Genomic DNA, 20,178 nt, shown 5'->3' with positions numbered 1-20,178 from the left:
GACAGTGTGGCGATTCCTCAAGGATCTAGAACTAGAAATACCATTTGACCCAGCCATCCCATTACTGGGTATATACCCAAAGGATTATAAATCATGCTGCTATAAAGACACATGCATACGTGTGTTTATTGCAGCACTATTCACAATAGGAAAGACTTGGAACCAACCCAAATGTCCAACAATGATAGACTGGATAAGAAAATGTGGCACATATACACCATGGAATACTATGCAGCCAGAAAAAAGGATGAGTTCATGTCCTTTGTGGGGACATGGATGAAGCTGGAAACCATCATTCTCAGCAAACTATCGCAAGGAGAGAAAACCAAACACCACGTGTTCTCACTCATAGGTGGGAATTGAACAATGAGAACACTTGGACAAAGGAAGGGGAACATCACACACCAGTGCCTGTCATGGGGTGGGGGGAGGTGGGAGGGATAGCATTAGGAGATATACCTAATGTAAATGACAAGTTAATGGGTGCAGCACACCAACATGGCACATGTATACACATGTAACAAACCTGCACATTGTGCATATGTACCCTAGAACTTAAAGTATAATAATAAAAAAAAAGAATTGACCAAACAACAGTATAAGTTTGAAGAGGAATGTTTTATTAGATAGGAGGAACGCTGCAGCAGAGTGCAGCTTCAGTAAGAGAGGACTGAGTGTGCCCAGTTGGATCTTCCGTAGGGGTATTTGTGGACTTAACGCAGGAGCTGAAGGGTGATTTGGACCATATTAGTCACATTGGTCATGAGAAATGATTAACATTTGTGGATGTTTTGGTGCCTTTATGTCGGCAAAGGTTGTACAATGGGTTTCGACATGCTTGCATTCCAGAAATGTATAGAAATTCTAGAAGTCTAATTACTTCTGAATTCCTCAGATAAGGAGTTTTGCCTCTAGATGACCTGCTTGATGGCCACCAGGTGATCTTTGCTCTCATCGAGAACAAGTGTAGGTCCCCTTTTCTTTCTGCCTTCATCACAGTCCCTCCAGCATTGCAAGGGGCCTCATGCACGTGCACTGGGGCCATTGATACACACATCAAAGCCCCAGGAATCCTTTGAACACTCCTCGGGCCTTGGAGCCTACACACCAATGATGCAATCTGGTCCCCTCCTCCAGAGATCTGATCTGGGCAGAGTTAGGTCAGAGAATTCTGGCATCCCAGGTACTCAGTGCATGGTCTAGGAAAGGTGTGGATGCCATATACAGACACCTGGGCCCTCCTCACCTTCTGTGAAAGTGATGTGTGTGAAAGAGAGCAAGAGAAGATCCTCTAAAGTACAGTGCCTGGCTGGGGAAGAGTCTCACGCCTACAATTTTTGGAACTGTCTTAAAGGCAATGCTCTTTCCTTTAGATTTTATTCCTAGTGTATTTAGCATTGAATATTATTTTTGTAGTTGGCTTGTGTATGCTTTCAGCTACAAGTAACCAAAAACTTGAACTTATACCCAAAAAGGTTAAATAACACATAACAAGAAAACCTGATGCAGGGTGGTCCCGTGGTGCATTAATTCAGAGGCTTGGTGACTTCATCCTTGGGGTGTGTTCCCCTCAGTCATTCTTGAAGTGAGTTGATTTTGTCCTCAGATAAGGAGTTTTGCCTCCAGATGATCTGCTTGTGGCCACCAGGTGATCTTTACTCTCCTCAAGAACCAGTGTAGGTCAAGAACCAGTCATCATGCCCAGATGTGACAACATGCACTGAAAGAAAAGGAGATGGTTTCTCCCATGCGTGTCTTTTTATTGGCAAGAAAAATCTTTTAATGAAGTTCTTCAACAGAATTCATCTCACCTATAGCTGGATGTGATGGCACATGCCTGTAATCCCAGCTACTTGGGAGGCTGAGGCAGGAAGATTGCTTGAGCCCAGGAATTTGAGTTTAGCCTGCTCAACATAGTGAGACCTCATCTCTAAATAAATAAATGTACATGTCATTAGCCAGAAATGTCAAATGACCACCTAAACTAAGGGAGATGGGGACCACGATGATTAGTTTACATGTTTTATGCATGTCATGTGAGAAGAGGGTTGGGTACCAGAGTAGAAAAAGAGGAGAATGGACTGTGGACAGGCACTCAGTTGTGTTTTTCACAGTAAATAAAGCTAGAAAGTTACTGCCCTTCCCTGACAATGCCAAATTCTTAGTCTTGTGCAAATCTTAGCTCTCAGTGACTGCATCTAGTTGGGACCCTCTTTTCAACATTCCCACTCTCCTTCCTGGAGCTCACCCGCACCCACTCCCTGGAGTACCCTACTTCCCGCCCTTCTGGTGAGCTGCACTGTGCCAGTGCCTGGCTTGCTTTTTCTGAAGTCAGCAATTCACACTGAACACTAATAAAAGATTTTTCCAGAAAATAGCTTGTTGCCTTAGGCATTCAGACAATATTTCTCTTCACTCCTGGAGTGTCTCTTCCTCCATGTCTCTATTATTAGGTACAGGCCCACTTCCAGCCCCCACTTGAAGGCCCTAGCAGTTGCACCAGTCCACAGCCTCTTCTCTAGGGCCCCTCCCTGAACCTTGACTGTGAATTTCTTGTTTACTTTTTACAATAGCGTTGCAGACATTAAGTACCTATCTTTCTGTCTCTCACATAATAGACACTCAACAAGATGTGCTCTGGTTGTTTTCTCCTAAGTGCCCAAGTGGTGGGGAGCCTCTTCTACACCTAAAATGAACTAGACAATTAACAATTTTCCTAGTAAACTCCATTCAACCAAGTTTATGGGGGATAGTCTTTACAAGCTTACAAAGTAGCCTGTAAAGGCCTGAAAGCAATTAATCAATATCCACTGATCTAAACATACTTTTCATGTTTTCTTCCTTCTATCCATGAAATATCGGCTTCCCTGAATGTCTGAGGCCCAAACCTTTGACGTGGGTCAATGTGAAGGAAAAGATGAGTGTGAAGAGGATATTTTCAAGATAAAAAAGGAAAAACTTGGGGCTAGCGGGATTAAAACCTGTACTGACATCTCAAAGAAGAAAATAAAGCTCACCTCTGGCCTCCACCAGTTTTCTCCACAAGCTAATGAGATGATGATTAAGAGTGTGGGGAAAAAGAGCAATGAAATGTCCTTGTTTCCCCCAGATGAAAATCTAGGCAGGATTGTGTGTTCATTAGCCACATAAATTGCTATTTAAAGTGAACAAACTCAGACTTCACAAGCATAGATTCTGTTTGGACTCATATCATTACCTTTCCTAATGAAATGCTTCCCGTTGTTGCCTTCATACAGAAAATTAACTCTAAATAATATTAAAACTCTTAATTCAATATAGATTCCACTAATTGATCCTTTAGAAGTAAATCTACCCAGGGAAAATAAGACTATTTTAAATTATTTACCATAAATTGTGTTGAATCTTTTGAGTGTTTCAGTTCAGAGGATTTCTACATAATTCTAACAATATATGGTAAAGTTTTCGAAGCCTAGATACATATTTTAATGTCATTGTTTCAAATGGGTACCCCAATTGATGGTTTACAAGTTCTGATGTGCTGGACCACTGGCAAGTCTCCACTTTACTTTTACTCCACTTTACAGGGTAAAATTGTAAAACTCTAATAAAACAAAATATGTAGTAATCTATAGAAATTGTGCTTTAACTGCACTCCTAATAACAGGCTTTATTCTTTTTTCATGAAAAGGAATAATTTTAGATGCTAAAATGCTGAATAATAGAACATATTTATAGGTATATTGAACAAACCCTCTTAGGAAAGAAGGAATCTAGGTGAGCCCTGCTTCAAAGGAAAAAAAATATCAATATATATTGATATGTATGTCAATAAATATTCTCATTATGAAAAAAAGAAAAGCGTTGTTTTGACTATTCCTGTGTAACCAAGTATGACAAAACCTAATGATATAAAAATGATATTTTGCTTGCAGTTTTGTGGCTTAGGGATTTGGGAAAAGTCTGGCAGGGCAGTTTGTCTCAAATCCACATGGCGTTTGCTGAGGTGACTAGAGCTGGAAAATCTCCTTCTAAAATGGTTTCTTGACCCACGTATCTGGTCCCTGGGTTGGGATGGCTGGAACACCTGGGAGCTGGTCACATACTGTTCAGGCAGCTCTCTTTCCATGTGGCCTCCATGTGTGGTTAGCTAGAGCTTCCTTACAGCATGGTGGTCTTAGGGTTGTCTGATTTCTTACATGGTGTCTGGAGCACGTTTTTAAAGATGGAAAGTAGAAGCTGCCTGATGCTCAAGGCCTAAGCTTAGGGATTGGAAAAACATCATTTCTGCTGTATCCGACTGGGTAAGCAAGTTACTAGGCCTGCAGAGATTCGAGGGGAAGGGAATTAAACTCTAACTCTTAATGTGTTATCATTTTTTTCTAGCACAGGAGTGAATAAACATTATGAAAAGATTTGTCATTTTACAAAATAATTCATTCCAGTTTTTCTCAATATAATAAACACACCAAAGACACTTAGAATATTATATTATTTAAAAGTGACTACTCACACCTAACTTACTAGAAACACGTTCAATGCTCAGAGGAAAGTACAAATGCTCACATCCCTCCTTTAGTCAGTAGCTGCAGCTTACGCAATTAAGACTAGCATTCCTATTTTGCAAAGCTATTTAAAACCTGGCAATAATTAGGTATTTACTATTGCCAGTCTGACTTCAACCTCTAAAGGTCTTCCAAAAATCTTCTCTGCCAAGAAATGACTGCCTCAGAATGAGATCCTGAATATCAAAAGGTTTACTCTAAGATTTAATTCAGCCAGACCAATGTTGGGAATCTGAAAGGGGCTGTTGTTTGTCACATTAATTACGTGCTTGTCGGGTAGATCTCAGTGGGAAGAAATTTTGTACTTGGGAATTTCCAAGACAACCTAAAACTGTTGTTTCTCATACTGATTTTACTATTTCTTTACAGAGAGGTCAGCCGCCTGCAAATCTTTGAGCATTCAGTCCTTCTCAAGCTTTCTCCACGCTATGCCGGATGGCAGACCCCAGGGCTGGGGAGTGCAGATGGAGAGTCAGCCCTGCCAAGGCAGATGGCCGACCTCAGAAGCCCAGATCTATCTGTATCGATATGTTTCTGAAGGGCCAGTTTTTGTATCTCAGTACACACTGTCTGGAGCTCACAGTACTCGCTGTGCTCATAATGGCTCTCTTTGCCTAAGCGTCCTAGCAACATATCAACTAAGCAAATAGAAACAGACAGGAGCAAGTGGAGTTTATCTAAACCTGCAGGAGGGCAGAGAGGATTCACAGCCATATAGAGGCTATCCTCAATGTCTGCGGAGGCTGGTGTTTAATCAGCAGCATGAATCCAGCCATAAATTATAAAATAAACTCCTCATTCTTTTATACCATTGACCACACAGAAGCTATGCAGTTTCTACAGTTTTATGTAGACTTCTACAGACCAGTTGGTTTTCAAATTGGCCCAGTTAAACTTCTCTGTTCCTCCTCTTACAATGTAGTACATAAAATCCTTTCACATCCCTGTTTGCATAATTTCTTTTGGAATTATTGAAAGATAGCATTTACCTATCTAAATGAATAGACCATTGAATCTTGCAAGAGCCAAGTTACTTGTTCAAGATTCTACTACCAATTGTGGAAGAGAACAAGTTCTGGCAGGGAGGTCTCTGATTTCTAGAGCAGCTCTCCCTTTCTCTTCAGACCACATTAGACTATTGGCAGTCCACAGTTGGTGGCCACTCCAAAATGTGAATAGGAATTTAAGCCATAAAGCCTGCATCCTAAAATCATATGATCTTAGCTCATAACTGGGGAGAATTTTGACATGTAAATTTGGTTTTCATCAAACTAATTTGTATTTGAAAAGAGTTAGGACATGAGGATGAGAGAAAGGGAATCCACTAAAATGGGAAGCCCCTTTTTCCTTGGAAACAAAAAGAAGGGAAGAGAGGGAGGTGATGTAAACATATCAGAAAACTCCCAAAGTCTCAACTTTATAATATTCATAATGGAAGTCATCGACCTTAAGGATATAAAGAATTATTATATGCTATTAAGGACAACCTGATACAGAATACTTATAAAGAGGAGCACCTAGCAATGTACTATTTGCTATGTCCCAGGCACCAAGGTGAGAGCATTATAAATATTGTTGTGTTATGCACTCAAAACATGTAGAGATTATTATTAAACACATCATTTTATTTAATCTTCACAGTGACCCTGTGAAGTAGGTACTTGTATTACTCCCATTTCCAGAAAAAAACAATTCACCTTAGATTAAAATGAGGTGCCCACAGCCCACAGTGATCAAGTGGTAGAGCTACAACTCAAAGTTTTCACCACTCTACAAAATTGTCCTTAATCACCACAGCTAAAAAGCACAGAAAAGGTAAAAATCTCTGGATTCATATTCCAGTTCTGACATTCACTAACTGGAACCTTGTGCATGTGAAAAAAGATTCTGAGCCTGCCTTCACCATCAGAAAATGAAAGTCATTTACTGGGAAAATTAAATGAAATATTTAAGTGTCAATAGAATGCCCAACTCATAGTAGGTACTAAATAAATACTTACCTGATAAAAAGAAAATTGCAAGATCTTTCAAGTATCTTACTCCTGAAACATTGTGGTTAGATAATTATAAGTTAAAAAAATTGTTTCATTCAAACAAATAATTTGATAAACAATAATTGACTAATAAAAAGCTAGTCTGCAGAAAATTTTTTTAAATAATTTATTCCTGCAACTTTTAAAACCTAGAGACTGATTATATATGGCTTATGGATATGCCAAACGTATCTTGTGTATACACACACACACACACACACACACACGAAAGAGAGAAGAGGTGAGAAGAAAAAGCACATGTAATGAGAAGGTACTCAAGACCTCATTCCCAGATTACATGGCTCACAAGCATCCCTGGGTAGGATGAGAAGTTAGTCCATCGAACTCCAAATCCGTGTTCCTTTTGTTATATCATGCTATTTCCTGTAGGAAGAAATTGACTAAGAAAATCTTGCATTGAGGTGGATTTTATGTATCCATATTCTCTCATGACAACCAATAAGCAGGAATTTTTGGTGTACTAGCACCCAAGACAGCACTAATTTTGAAATTATTTTAATATATTGATAAAGGCATTTTTTTACTATTATTGTCCAATTCCACATCCCACTTTTCTAAAAAATCTTGCATTAAAATAGCTAAACATGGCAATAGTGGTGACCTGGGTTTTAGGTCTGGCCCTGCAAATCAACTAGCACTATAACCTAGTTACCCTGTCTGTAAAGGAAGCATTTGAAGCATTTCAAGCTCCTTCCTCTCTTAAATCCCTATGAAATGAACAGAACCAAAACCCTACCACCTTCCACTTTTTCTAGTTAACTCGGAAGTATAGAAGCACTACAGATTCTCATTATCCAAAAATATTGCGAGTTTTTTTTCCTTTAAAATCTAGGTGAAACAAAAACGATATTAAAAAATTCATGGCAGTTAGCATTATATTATCTGGTGGTTATGCTCTTCCTCCCTTTTTTAATAAGTAGCATGTGCACAGTAATTTTCATTGTCATGATTCTATGCCTTCTTCATAGTGCATTTTGCCAAAGAAACATCAGACATAAATGAACATTCTCAGGTATCCTAGCAACAGGATGTGATTAATAATACCTCTCAGAGCAAGGCAGATAAAATGCCTGAAAGTGAACGCAAACTCAGAATTGGCTACTGAGAAATTGGTAGTGCGGTGAGGCAAGTTTCATAAGATACCACAACAGACTTTATTATAAAAAGATGGAAGCAAGTAGAAGAGAGAACATATTTTAGAGAGGAGACTATAGTTGAGCATGAAAATATAGTATATATGTGTGTGTGTACATATATATATACCTACATATATATAGTGTACATATAAATGTGTATAAACATACATGTGTGTGCATGTGCACGCACACACACACACATATACAATTTCCTTCTCCTGAGAAGTGACATGAGATACTGAGTTATGATACAGATGCCCATACTCATTATTGGTGAGACAGCATCAAATTGCCATTTATGTGCCTGTGGTTTTAAAAGATCAGAAACAATCACTGTGATTAAGAGACTACTTCCATACTGAAGTACTGAAATGTACTGTAAATTGACATATATGTAATATTTCTCCATGAAACAATATCCACAACCTCAAGTCTAAAATAGCTTTTAAAAATATTGAGACTCAGTTTACATAGATAAATAGTCATGAGATGCGGAACTTTAGTGTTCAATTAAATAAATTTTCTCATATAAGGAAAAAGTTTTATCTTACAAATTCAATTTTTATGAGGTTATGGTCCATTTTTATTCATCGCAAGTGGAGTGCTGCATCCAGGTTTAAGCAGAAATAAGATGCAAACCATATTTTAATGTTTTGTTTTTAAACTAGAATCTGTGATAAAATAAAGCACAACTAGGACAGAATGTGTGTTCATTATTCTGAAAGCCTTTCTATTATTTTATCACCCACTTTTCTAATATAATAGTTTTCTTGGTTGTCAGTTGTAATATACATACCTGCTAAAAGCTCTATTCTTGGTTGTACTTTCACTGCATTTTAGCAGTACTAAAATTGACTTCATGTTCTCCAGCATTTCAGAGTGAGTTGGAGCATTTGTGTTTAAGGCACGGTGCTAGACATCAGGAGAGAGAACGATATGGGACTCTCGACTTGTCCTGAAGGAAGCCACCATCCAGTCAGGAAAACAAACACACAACTAATTGTGAACCAAAATAAGAATTAGTGCTATGGCAAAGGAGTAAATGAAAGGTTACAGAAGCACAGAAGAAGGGTGCTTCACTCTGCAGGGCATGGAGAGTTTGGGGAGCTGGCACAAAAGAAAAGACTTCACAGAGGACTGGCAGCTGAGCTGAGCTCTAAAAGCTGAATAGGGTTTTGATAGGCAGGAGCCGTGTGACAGGACATTCTAGGAAGCAGAAACAGCATGAATGGGGAACTGGGGTGAAGGTGTAATTCCTGGTGTAATGGCTAACTCCTCTCTGTGATGCTTGAGGAGTGACAGCAGAAGGAAAGTTATGGCCAAATTGTCCAAGGTCATAAATTTTATATTAAGAAATGTAGAGTTTGCTGTTTAGGAGTGATTGGATTACAATGACAGAAAAAACCAACAAACAAGTTAGGAGCCCATAGAAAATAGATAACCCCAGGAACAGATATAAAGTTCATGAACTAGGGTGATGGCAGTGAGAAAGGAGAAGATATGTCTCAAAGTCCTGATGGAGGGGAATGTATTGGACTGAGGGACAGATTAGATGGGAAGAAGGAGCAAAAGAAAGAAGACGGTGGTTCCTAGGTTTTATATTTGGGTGCCTGAGCAGACACCAAGGATGAGCAGTTTTGTAGGGGACTATAATTATTGCTTTTTTTTTTTTAATGAAATCTTCTCCTTCTCCTTCTCCTTCTCCTTCTCCTTCTCCTTCTCCTTCTCCTTCTCCTTCTCCTTCTCCTTCTTCTTCTTCTTCTTCTTCTTCTTCTTCTTCTTCTTCTTCCTCTTCCTCCTCTTCTTGTTCTTTCTTCTTCTTCTTCTTCTTCTTCTTCTTCTTCTTCTTCTTCTTCTTCTTCTTCTTCTTCTTCTTCCTCTTCTTCCTCCTCCTCTTCTTCTTCTTCTTTTCTTCTTCTTCTTTACTTTAAGTTCTGGGATACATGTGCTGAACATGCAGGTTTGTTACATAGGAATACCTGTGCCATGATGGTTTGCTGCACCTATCAACCTGTCATCTAGGTTTTAAGCCCTGCATGCACTAGGTATTTGTCATAATGCTCTCCCTTCCCTTTCCCCTCACCCCCAACAGGGTCCAGTGTGTGATGTTCCCCTCCCTGTGTCCTTGTGTTCTCATTGTTCAACTCCCACTGGTGAGTAAGAATATGAGGTGTATGGTTTTCTGTTCCTGTGTTAGTTCGCTGAGGACGATGGTTTCTAGCTTCATCCATGTCCCTGCAAAGGACATGAACTCATTCTTTTTTATGGCTGCATAGTATTCCATGGTGTATATGTGCCACATTAAGCTCATCATCACTGGTCATTAGAGAAACTGGGACTATAATTATTTAAGTTAAAAACATGTGTTGAAGTGCAGTGGAGGACACAAGTAGAGATTTCCAAGAGGCTTTAAAACCTAAGTAGATTTTGGAGCTAGAGATGTAGTGTCACAGTTGTCTCTTTGGGGGAAAGTGAACATTGAGAGAATGAGAGATAAGATCACCTATTCAGACTGAGATAAAGATACTAAAGAAGGAAGCCTAGAGGGTCGTCTCCATCTAAACAGTTCAATCTCTGTGTCCATGGATCAATATAGTACTGTCCTACCATGTAATTTTTATTTTTCTAATTTGATGTTTTGTGTGTATGTGTGTGCATGTATAAATATATATACACACATATATACATATATATACACACATATATACATATATACACACATATATATACATATATATACACATATATATATACACACACACCTATATATACACACATACATATATATAACTAAGAAATCTAAGTAGATTCCTGTAACAGGACTAATTCATGATAAAACTAATAGGTGGAATTTATATAGCACTCTACAATTTACAAAGCCCTTTCATATAACATAGGGGCTGAGAATTGTTCGAGGTCTTCATAAAAAAAATTATTTGAGGTATTCATAAAAAAAAGTTGCACCTTTCAGCCTCCCTTCTGAAACATGAGATGCCAATATTTCATGTGAATTTTGTCCATTTCTTGCTAGCTTTACCATATGGAATTGTTTCATCCTCATAGCATTCCAGAGAAGCAGACCCTGATCCCCACTTTAAAAATAAGAAAATCAGGGAGACTGATTGATATGCCTGCAATTAGCATTACTGTAGGTATAGTATATTAAATGATAAATTATTACAGACTTTTGAAACATATATTTAACACTTATCTCAGGATTTAGCAGCTAAAAACAACAATAAACTTATCAGCTCACATGGTTTCTGTAGGGGACTCTGGAATAGCCAACTGGATGGTTCTGGTTTTGGCTTTCTCAAAATTACAGTCAACATGTTGCCCAGAGCTGCTGTCAGCTGAAGGCTTGACTGGGGCTGGTAAATGGATTGCTCATGTGCCTAGCAAGTTGGTGGGGGCTGCTGGCAGGCCTTTGTTCCTCATTGGCAGTTGACAGGAGGCCTCAGTTCCATGCCACATGGACCTCTCCATAGGCCTGCTTGAGTGTCCTCACAACATATTATCCGGCATCCCCCAGAGGGAGTGATCCAAAAGAAAGGAATATTGAAGCCATAGTTTTTTGTCTTTGTTTTTTGAGATGGGGTCCTGCTTTGTTGTTCAGGCTAGAGTGCTGTGGTGCAGTCATAGTTCATGGTAACCTCAAACTCCTTGGTTTAAGTGATCCTCCTGCCTCAGCCTCCCAACTAATTAGGGAGGTGACAGATGTGTGCCACCATGCCTGGCTAATCTTTAAAAAAACAATTTAGAGATGGTGGTCTCATTTTGTTGCACAGGCTGGTCTGAAACTGCTGGCCTCAAGTGATCCTCCTGCCTCAGCCTCCCAAAGCATAGGGATTACAAGCATGAGCCACCACACCCAAACTGGAAGCCACAATTTTCTTAAGGATCAACCTCAAAATCACACTATATTATTCCCACAAAATCCTTGATTACACAGTCAATCTAATTCAGTGGGATTACACAGGACGTGAATATCAAAAGAAGAGAAGATGGGAATCATTTGGGATACCTTGATCACTACACCATATTATTTATCTCAAATACATACACTTCCAACTTTCAGAATTAGTGACTTATTCTAATATAGGTTAAAGACACTCCAAAAAGTTGTTTTTGTTTACATATTTTACAATTCAAGCCTTGAATACCATTTTTTAAAATTTATGAAAATGTCCGAGGCCTCTAGTATTCATAAGTGAATAATCCAACAGTAAGCAGTGGCTTGCCCAGTGGAAAACTTAAATGAGAAGGTACCCTGTCACACTTCATAATGAATGAGGCCTTTAAATGGATTATTCATGCTATTTATCTGTTGGAATCATTGAAATAAATTGCATCAAACAAGTCCTCTGGAAATCACCCAAATGAATATAACATGCCATTAATCAAGGTGCCAGTTAAATGAATTCTACACTTTTGGCAGCGACATAAGGGAAGATTGTACATTTTCCACCTTATATGTTAGGATTTTAAAAGACTCGAAGGGCTGTTAGAAAAGCTTGGATAAAGTTTACATGTAGCTTCAACGTGTGGCCTAACTTCTCAGTAACTAGCTCCAGCTGTGGAATGTTGATAGATGACAAAAAAAAGTGACAGCTGGAAGGATGGTCTTCACTTATCCCAAACCACGGTCCTCACCTCCACCGTGGTGTTCATACACACCATTGCCCAGGTACACAGTTTCTTACCTAAGTCTATAAGCATGCTTAGGATTTCCATAACTTAGCAAAAACCTTTAGTTGGCTTCTAGTCAAGCTATTACCCCATTTCACTTATTCAACTCATTTGGAGGCTGCCAAAGTTGATAAACAAGAAGCCATGTCCTCAGCTCCACTTTCTCATCACACACTTACTTCCCAAACCCTCGCAGTCTCTCTTGTGTTCTCTGCCCACTCTCTGCTAAAACTACTCTCTCACAATCTAGCAACAATCATGTGAACTCAGCAAGCAGTAGCAACATGCTGTTGAAAACCCCCATACTTCTAAAACTTGATTTGTGGTACCGGAGCCTGCACTTTGTTGAGGTCCCCAGATCTCAGCTGCTTCTGACTTCCCGTGGGCCTACATCACAAAACAAAAGCAGCAGTCATGTTATCTTAGTTATTGTCCTCCACCCACTCCTCTGTGCTGTCTGCCTTTATGCCCCATTCACTCCTTCAGCTTCAGCCATCTTATGATGAACATTTCTTGCATCTGTAATTTCAACTCAGATTTTTTTGAATTTATTGAGACTTGCTTTATGACTGAGCACGTGGTCAGTCTTAGAGAATGTTCTGTGCACAGATGAGAAGAATGTGCATTCTGTGGTTGCTGGATGGACTATTCAGTAGATGTCTGTTAGGTCCATTTGGTCAAAAGTTCATTTAAGTCCACAGTTGCTTGGTTAGTTTTCTGCCTCGATGATTTGTCTGATGCTGTCAGTGCCTGTTGAAGTCCCCCACCATTATTGTATGGCTATATCTCTTTTCTTAGATCTAGTAGTATTTGTTTTATAAGCCTGGATGCTCCAATGTCAGATGCGTATATATTAGGATAGTTAAATTTTCTGACCTCTTACAAGCTCCTTGTCCCCATAGTACTTCAAAGTCAGTAGGTCTAACACTGAACTTGTTATTCCCAGCCTCATCACATTCTATAATACCATTTCCCCAACTTGCATCTCTATACCCAAAGTCACCTAGCTAACCACTCATCTTGACTTCTTCTCCTTCCTGGCAACTCACATTTTATAAATCACTGGGCCCTATTATTTCGGCCTCCCCCCGGTCTCTTGCATCCACTACTTCCCTCCTCTCCACTCCCACTGCCATGACTCAGTCCACCCTTTCATTGCCTTGTGTCTAACCTCTAGGATAGTCCTCCTCCTATGCACTGCTGTAAGTGTGCAAGTTCTTCTTGCGCAAATACCCTGTCCATTTAGCCCATACTGTTTCCTTTGCCAAGAGTCAGTCATTTCTCTATTTCAAATTTCTCAAATCCCATTTGTATCTCAAGGTCAAAATCAAATACCACTTTCTCCATAACTTCATGAGCACCCCCTCCTTTCTTAAAATAACTGTTTCATCATCTCATATCTTTAAACATTCTACACTATTTGAGGCACATCTCACTTCATATTATATTGTCTGTCCTTTCTATTTTTTCAAGTGGGTTGTAAGAGGGCATAGTCTTATTTAGCTGTTTTCCCCATAATGGTTTCTATGGGGATTTGCCCTTTGTAAGTTTATTGTTGAGTAAACGACTCTGGCTAACAAGATTTTAAAAATCCAACAGCACATTTAATGCATAGTTATTTATTTTTTACTTTCATAAATTGGTTTGTAAGCAGTTCTTATGCCTGTCAGCTGAGCCCAGTCATCTCTAGGAGCACACTGGACATGGCTGAAGTAGAGGTTGTGTTTGGAAATTGCTGTAAACTGGGCTTTCATCTTATTTTCATCATATTCTCATGACTCCATGCTGTAACTTATCTTCCACTTCTCATTTCAGGGAGAGTGGAGAAGAGAAGAGAACAAAAAGTAACTTCAGGTAAGATTTTGTCCAATGGGCTCCAGCTTTATTTCCTGATTTTATTTCCACCTTTAAATTTTTTAAAATTTATTATTCAAAAATTCACACTAAAATTAATAGTTTATGGTTTTTGAACTGATCGATATTAATTTAATTAAAATAAATTCATACATTTAGCTTTCTCACTTTCACATCAGTTATGCCCTTTTCATCCAATCATTACATTCAAAAGAAAATGAGATGGGAATGTTGCTTAATTTTTTCATGATTATCTATTTAAAGGTAAGTCTTGCAACCAACAGTATTAAAATACAGACATTGTGATGTGATAGTTGACAACCAGTTTACTTTCCCAAATGACTATGAATCTCAATTTTATTTCTTAAAACCGTATATGTAGTGGATGCTTTTCAGGACAGTGTTAACTGAGAAGCATCTTTATATTTTGGAGGAATTTTAAGAATGCCTTCACTTCTAAATTCATATGGATTCAGAAGTGAATCATGCTTTGGCAGAATGCCATTGCACATAGTAGGGGTCAGTATTTGCTAACTAATACAAAATTAAGTTTTTACATTTTCATATTTCCATGACTTGCCTTTTAGCTTAAAGTTGTGAGGTAAGATAGATTTTCATTTACCAAGTCGATCTTTGCATAGGAGCAGTGTTGCAGCTCACAGTGCCCAGAAATTGCCAACAATCATAGAGAACGCTAATTTGGCATGTGTACCTATGCCCGCCATCCTTCCCAAGTTTCTACCAACCCACTATTCCTGTGATAAGCAAGAGCTACCAATCACTCCCATCCACTAGCTTCTTTTAGCTTCATTTCCTGTCTGGTAATAAGATATTATGTGTGTTTCCAAAGAGTCAGCATAGTCAATAGAAGACAAAGATCCATCTTAATCTAAAAGTGTATAAACAGCATAAGCTTCTGTCTCTTTTGTCCTTTCCAATCTTAGCATTCATTTCAGATAAGTGGGCAACTTAATACCTGCATGAATTTCCTGTTAAATATTATTGTTTGCATTCTCTGGGAACCTTTTAAAGCCTGATCATGAACACACACACACACACACACACACACACACACAATTATGAAGGCAAGAAAGTGTCTGAGTCCCTCACAGGTATGATTACCTTCATTATTGCTCCTTGGGGGAGAAATTATTTCTAAATAATTTCTAAATTGCTTCTAAATGCTATTTCCATAATGCTGTATGTACTACCTTCTTAGTTAAAGAAAATGCACAGTTTGGAAGAAAGCTAAGTTGGCCAAAGTGTTAAGTCTGATGCCTCATTAGGTTCCCTCAATAGTCATGGCTTCTGAAATTATTTGTGATCAAGGTGACACCAAGGTTAGAGACAGAGGCAGGACAAGGACTCAGGCATCTCCACTCCCTACCCTTTCCTGCACCCCCACCATGCTAACGTTTCTTTTCAAAACAAAGTGCTAATCACTTTAATGCTTTGTTCAGTTACTTGCTTAATAAAACACTTTTCAACAAATGGAAAATCTTTAAGGCAACAGCATCTTTGATAGGGAACACAGGTCACCAGGGCTATGAGAAAAATCCCTTTACTAGTGGAATTTTTACTAATTTGCCCTATCTGATCTGTAGCTTGTCAATTGCCTGATTTCTATGAGAGGGTGAGGTTAAGGATAACTAATGGATAGAGCCCATATTCTAGGGGAATGTTAGGGGGCTCCTAATCATTTCAAATGACAACAAATCACGCCATCAGGAAATCTAAATTTGTAACAATAGTCTGAGTTTTCAAGATTGGAACATACTGTTTGCCACTATAGTCATAAATACTACAATCAGTCTGTGGTACTGGCCTGAATGTAGACTTCTTTAGATAAAGTGTGTGGCTAAGATACCAAAAACATCATGGGAACTCCTATTTCTGACTTCCTGCTTGGAATTTTTTACATCTTAGTTCATTTTCCTCAGGTTCTATGTCCTGCCTCCCCAGTTACTATATACCCTGCACCCTCTTGTTTACAGCTGAGTTTATCTCCTGGCTAAGAAAGACCAATATTAGGTTCTGGACCATTTCAATCTACCCTATCCTATTGCACTAAATGTATAATAATTGAAACAAAAAAATTAGAAAATATTTTAGACAGAATATTCCTATTAAAACTGGGACCTACCAAGACCCTCATTTTTTGGTTGGTTAAGGTTAATTCTTTGTTTAAAGAGTCTTGCACTAAGATGAAAGCTACACAGAAGTAACTTTTTATTCAGGGTAAGAAATAACTTCCTAACAAGGAAACGTCTCTAGCATTGGAAAGAATGAGATTATGTTTGTAAACATGTGCAGGGGGTTGGGCACCCCCTAAAAGAATGTTGACAAGAGATTCATAAAGAGTTTGGTTAAATCATTGCCAACGTTTTTTCTAATTTTGTGTCTATGATTCTATTGCCATTTTCACTTAATTGAAATGGCTCTACTATGTATAATGGTGGTCAACAAAACTTAAGTGGCTTTCATTTCATTATATAACTGAGTGAATCATGTTCCAAAGATTACACTAATTTAGTTTCGACTGAGTTTCTCAGTAAAGCGTCTAGCTGATGGTGCCAGGACTATGGAATAAAACTGTCCTGTAGTCTATTTAGTGACTTCTATTTAGAGTCCGTCTACACTGATTGCAGTCCGGGCTATTGATTCATGTGTGATGCTATTTTTCATAAGCCAGAAATAACTTCACAAGAGAGTATGTATCACTTGGTATCATTCATTGTCATTTTTGAAAACCCATTCAAATTATATCCTCCTTGACACTAAGCTTGAAAGTCTATGTCATAGTCATAGAATATGGTTAGAAACATCAAAACTAAATTTGGCGATTTGGCTTGGTAAAGAATATTATAAAATATATGGTGATATAATGATAAGTGGATACATATGAGGAGGCAAATACCTGATGTCATCAATTTTCTATTTTCCCTTGATTCTCTTTACCGGGAAAATTTTTAAAAAGATCAGCTATTTCATAGATTTTATGTAAAAACTTCATTGTTTGAAGTACCTTTATCTCATCAGAAGAAAGACCTCTTTGTGGGCCATGGAATTCTCGATATTAGAAAGCAACACAGCATAAAGTGCAAAGAGGAATTCTTGTGAAGAAAAGTGGATTATAAATTATTGTTTAGAAAAAGGTATGTTAGGATGCTTACTAACATAAACTAGGGGAACACCATCTGTTAAATCTATATTCCAACATTTCCAAAAAGAAGAACTCTTTCAAATTCAGTTAAGTATAATGGAAAGAATAGCCCTAGTGGACCAGAGAATGGAGAAATCAATTGCGTACTTTTCATTTATTACATTAGAGCATCCCTAAAGTTAGAAATGGTTTGTTCATTTACATCATTTGCAAAAAGCTACCCACAGAGAGGAACAATGGTTTTTTTTTTTTTTTCTCAACTCAAAAGGTGAAATTCATTATTGGAAATTTAGCAAATGTAGAACATCTGCTTTGCAAACTCAGTCCCTTGCGGCTTACTTTTTGACTGAGTGTGTTGATGCTTGGAAATGTTCTACAACAGCAATGGCACCTCCATTTTAAAACTTTTTAACACACGTTGAACATGCAGTCATTCAGGATAAAAAAAATAGTTAAGTAGATACTGAATAAAATCTTCCATCTGTGCATGAATAACATGTTCATTTTATTATATGTCACATTTATTGAATGCAAATAATATTTAGCACATTTAGCATGATTTTTCTCTAGGCTATTTCTATTTTTATAGTGTTTTTGACATAGTTCCTATACACTATCAAAAAAAAACTTAAAAATCAAGAGTGAGAAAGACCTATTTTGTCATAGTTTTAATTATTGGTGACCAACATTAAACATATGAAGTTAGCAGGTAGAAGACATTGTGACAAATACATTTAAGCAAACTATTATCCTTGAAAAGCCCATTATTTTGGACATTGGTATTTTGCAATATCTACATGTTTCATTCTCACTTTGAGAATCATTATTCCAGTTAGAATCAAGCTTAAAATGCTTATCATCCTAACTTGTTCGTAGCTTATAAAAGCTATTTTCTTGACAGCACTTCAGGCACCACAAAAGGGGCAGAGAAGGAATCTGAGGTATTTATAAGTTGGTACTTTCAATTTGATAAATATTTTAATGGTCCAGGACTTGTTCTTAACATCAGAGATGCAAAGGTGAATAAGATGTGGGATAAATACCCTTAATTCACTCACATTCAGTTCAGGGAGAAAAGCAAGTACACATGATTACAACATGGTGTGAAGAGTGCCTTTTAGAGAATGATGTACAAGGTATCATGAGGAATTTCAGGGAGGGCTTCCTGGAAGAGGCGAGACTTGAGTCAGTCCTTGAAGAAAGAATTGGAGTAGTTTACCAGGTTAAAATAAAGGGGGGGGAAGGGCTCGCTGTCCAAAGGAGTGTGTTTATGCAAACTAAACAAATCTGAAACACCTAATAGTTAATGAAAGAGACATTGCCAGAGAGATGAAGGTAGTGGGAAAAGGCATGGCCTATTGAGGGAAAGCTTAGTGATTTAATAAGCCTGGAACAGAGTCATAAACAAGAGGTGGGAGATGTGGCCAAAATGTAGGCACACACTAGAATCAACAAGGACCATCTATGCCGTTCCATGGAGTTTGGACTTCATGCAGTAAGTGCTGAAAGCTAATGAAGTACAAGGAATTACAGAATCCATCTGCATTTTCTAAAAATCTCTCCAGGAGAGAGGTTTCTAAAAACCTCAGCGGAAGTATGGATTGGAAGAGAAATTGACGGGAGGCAAGGAAATCAGGAAGCATATCATTTTAATTACCCAAGAATAACAGGATGAAGGTCTGAGGTGTCTTTACTAAGACAGTGACATTAGAGAGGAAGCCAAGAAAATGGAATCCAGATACATTTACAAGATCAAACTGACCTGGTTGGATATGGAAGGTACGGGAGGATAACTCTTAGGTTTCCCACCTTAGAGAAGAGATGTATACTGCAACCTGTGTAGGGAATACGGGGAGAGAGACAAGTTTGGTGGAGAAAATAATAAATTAAGTCGTATCTATGTTGATTATAATGTGGCATGTGTGATATGGGGACAGAATTTTGTCAAGAATGTCAAATAAGTGGTAGGTTATGGGCAATAGAGCCTAGAACTTCAGAGAGATGCAGATTTGCCTTTTAAGTAATTGGTTCCTGGATAAGAGTTGAAGCCCTGGATATGAATGAGCTCCAAAGGCAGTCAGGAGTGAGAAAAGAGACAAGGCAAGGCTGAATCCTTAGAACATCCCCAACATTAACAAAGAACACAGTAAGATAACTCAGAGACCGAGACCCTAGGAAAGATAAATCAAAGCTGTCCTGTGAGAATCAACAGCATTCTCTGTCTCTGAATCCAAGAAAGACAGAAAGTTAAAAGGAGGGACTGGTCAAACCTGTCCAGTGCCACAGAGTGAGCAAGTAAAATAAGCACTGAAAACATCTATTGGAGTTGCAGGGAGATATCTACTCATCACCACAGAGAAATTATGCTGGAGGAATTCTGTAAGTGAAAACCAAGTGACAAGGGGTTGGGGAGCAAATATAAGACAAATGCAGACTTGTTCTTTCAAGGAATATGTGAAAGGAAGGAGAGTGAGAAGGAAGAAGATATAAAAGAGAGAGAGAGGGAGGGAGGGAGAGAGAGAGAGAGATAGAGAGAGAAGAGCTTAATCCTTAGGCCATTAAGTTGGGGAACTGATGTTTATTGAACCACTATTTTCAGGCTCTGCGCCCAGTATCTTCTATTTGAGCCTTTAAATGAACATGTAAAGTTTGTTTATGGTCAACATTTTAAAAATTGGAAAGCTGAGATTGGGAAGGTTAAATTACTTGCTTTAGGCCCCATTTATTAACTGGTGGAA

The 20,178-nt window shown here is 38.3% G+C and overlaps 1 protein-coding gene and 1 long non-coding RNA gene across 5 annotated transcripts in view; one reads left to right on the top strand and one right to left on the bottom strand.

Annotated features, from left to right (window-relative positions):
• CHST9 (carbohydrate sulfotransferase 9) overlaps window positions 1–20,178 on the top strand; it is a 278,828-nt gene that overhangs the window by 122,567 nt on the left and 136,083 nt on the right. For all 4 annotated transcript variants that reach the window (NM_001256316.2, NM_031422.6, NM_001398493.1 and 1 more), the window contains one exon: window positions 14,239–14,277. In NM_001256316.2, the coding sequence (NP_001243245.1) occupies window positions 14,239–14,277 (39 nt within the window). The remainder of the gene's footprint in view (window positions 1–14,238; window positions 14,278–20,178) is intronic.
• On the bottom strand, window positions 600–1,930 carry LOC105372036 (uncharacterized). The gene is made up of 2 exons (XR_001753383.3): window positions 1,812–1,930; window positions 600–1,720 (listed from the first exon to the last, which is right to left on the bottom strand). It is a non-coding gene; the product is annotated as an uncharacterized LOC105372036 (long non-coding RNA).

The sequence above is a fragment of the Homo sapiens genome, chromosome 18 (genome assembly GCF_000001405.40).
Source record: "Homo sapiens chromosome 18, GRCh38.p14 Primary Assembly".
In the NCBI taxonomy this organism is placed as follows: Eukaryota; Metazoa; Chordata; class Mammalia; order Primates; family Hominidae; genus Homo; species Homo sapiens.
Note: the sequence above shows the minus strand (reverse complement) of the source record. Positions and strands in the feature narration are given on the sequence as shown.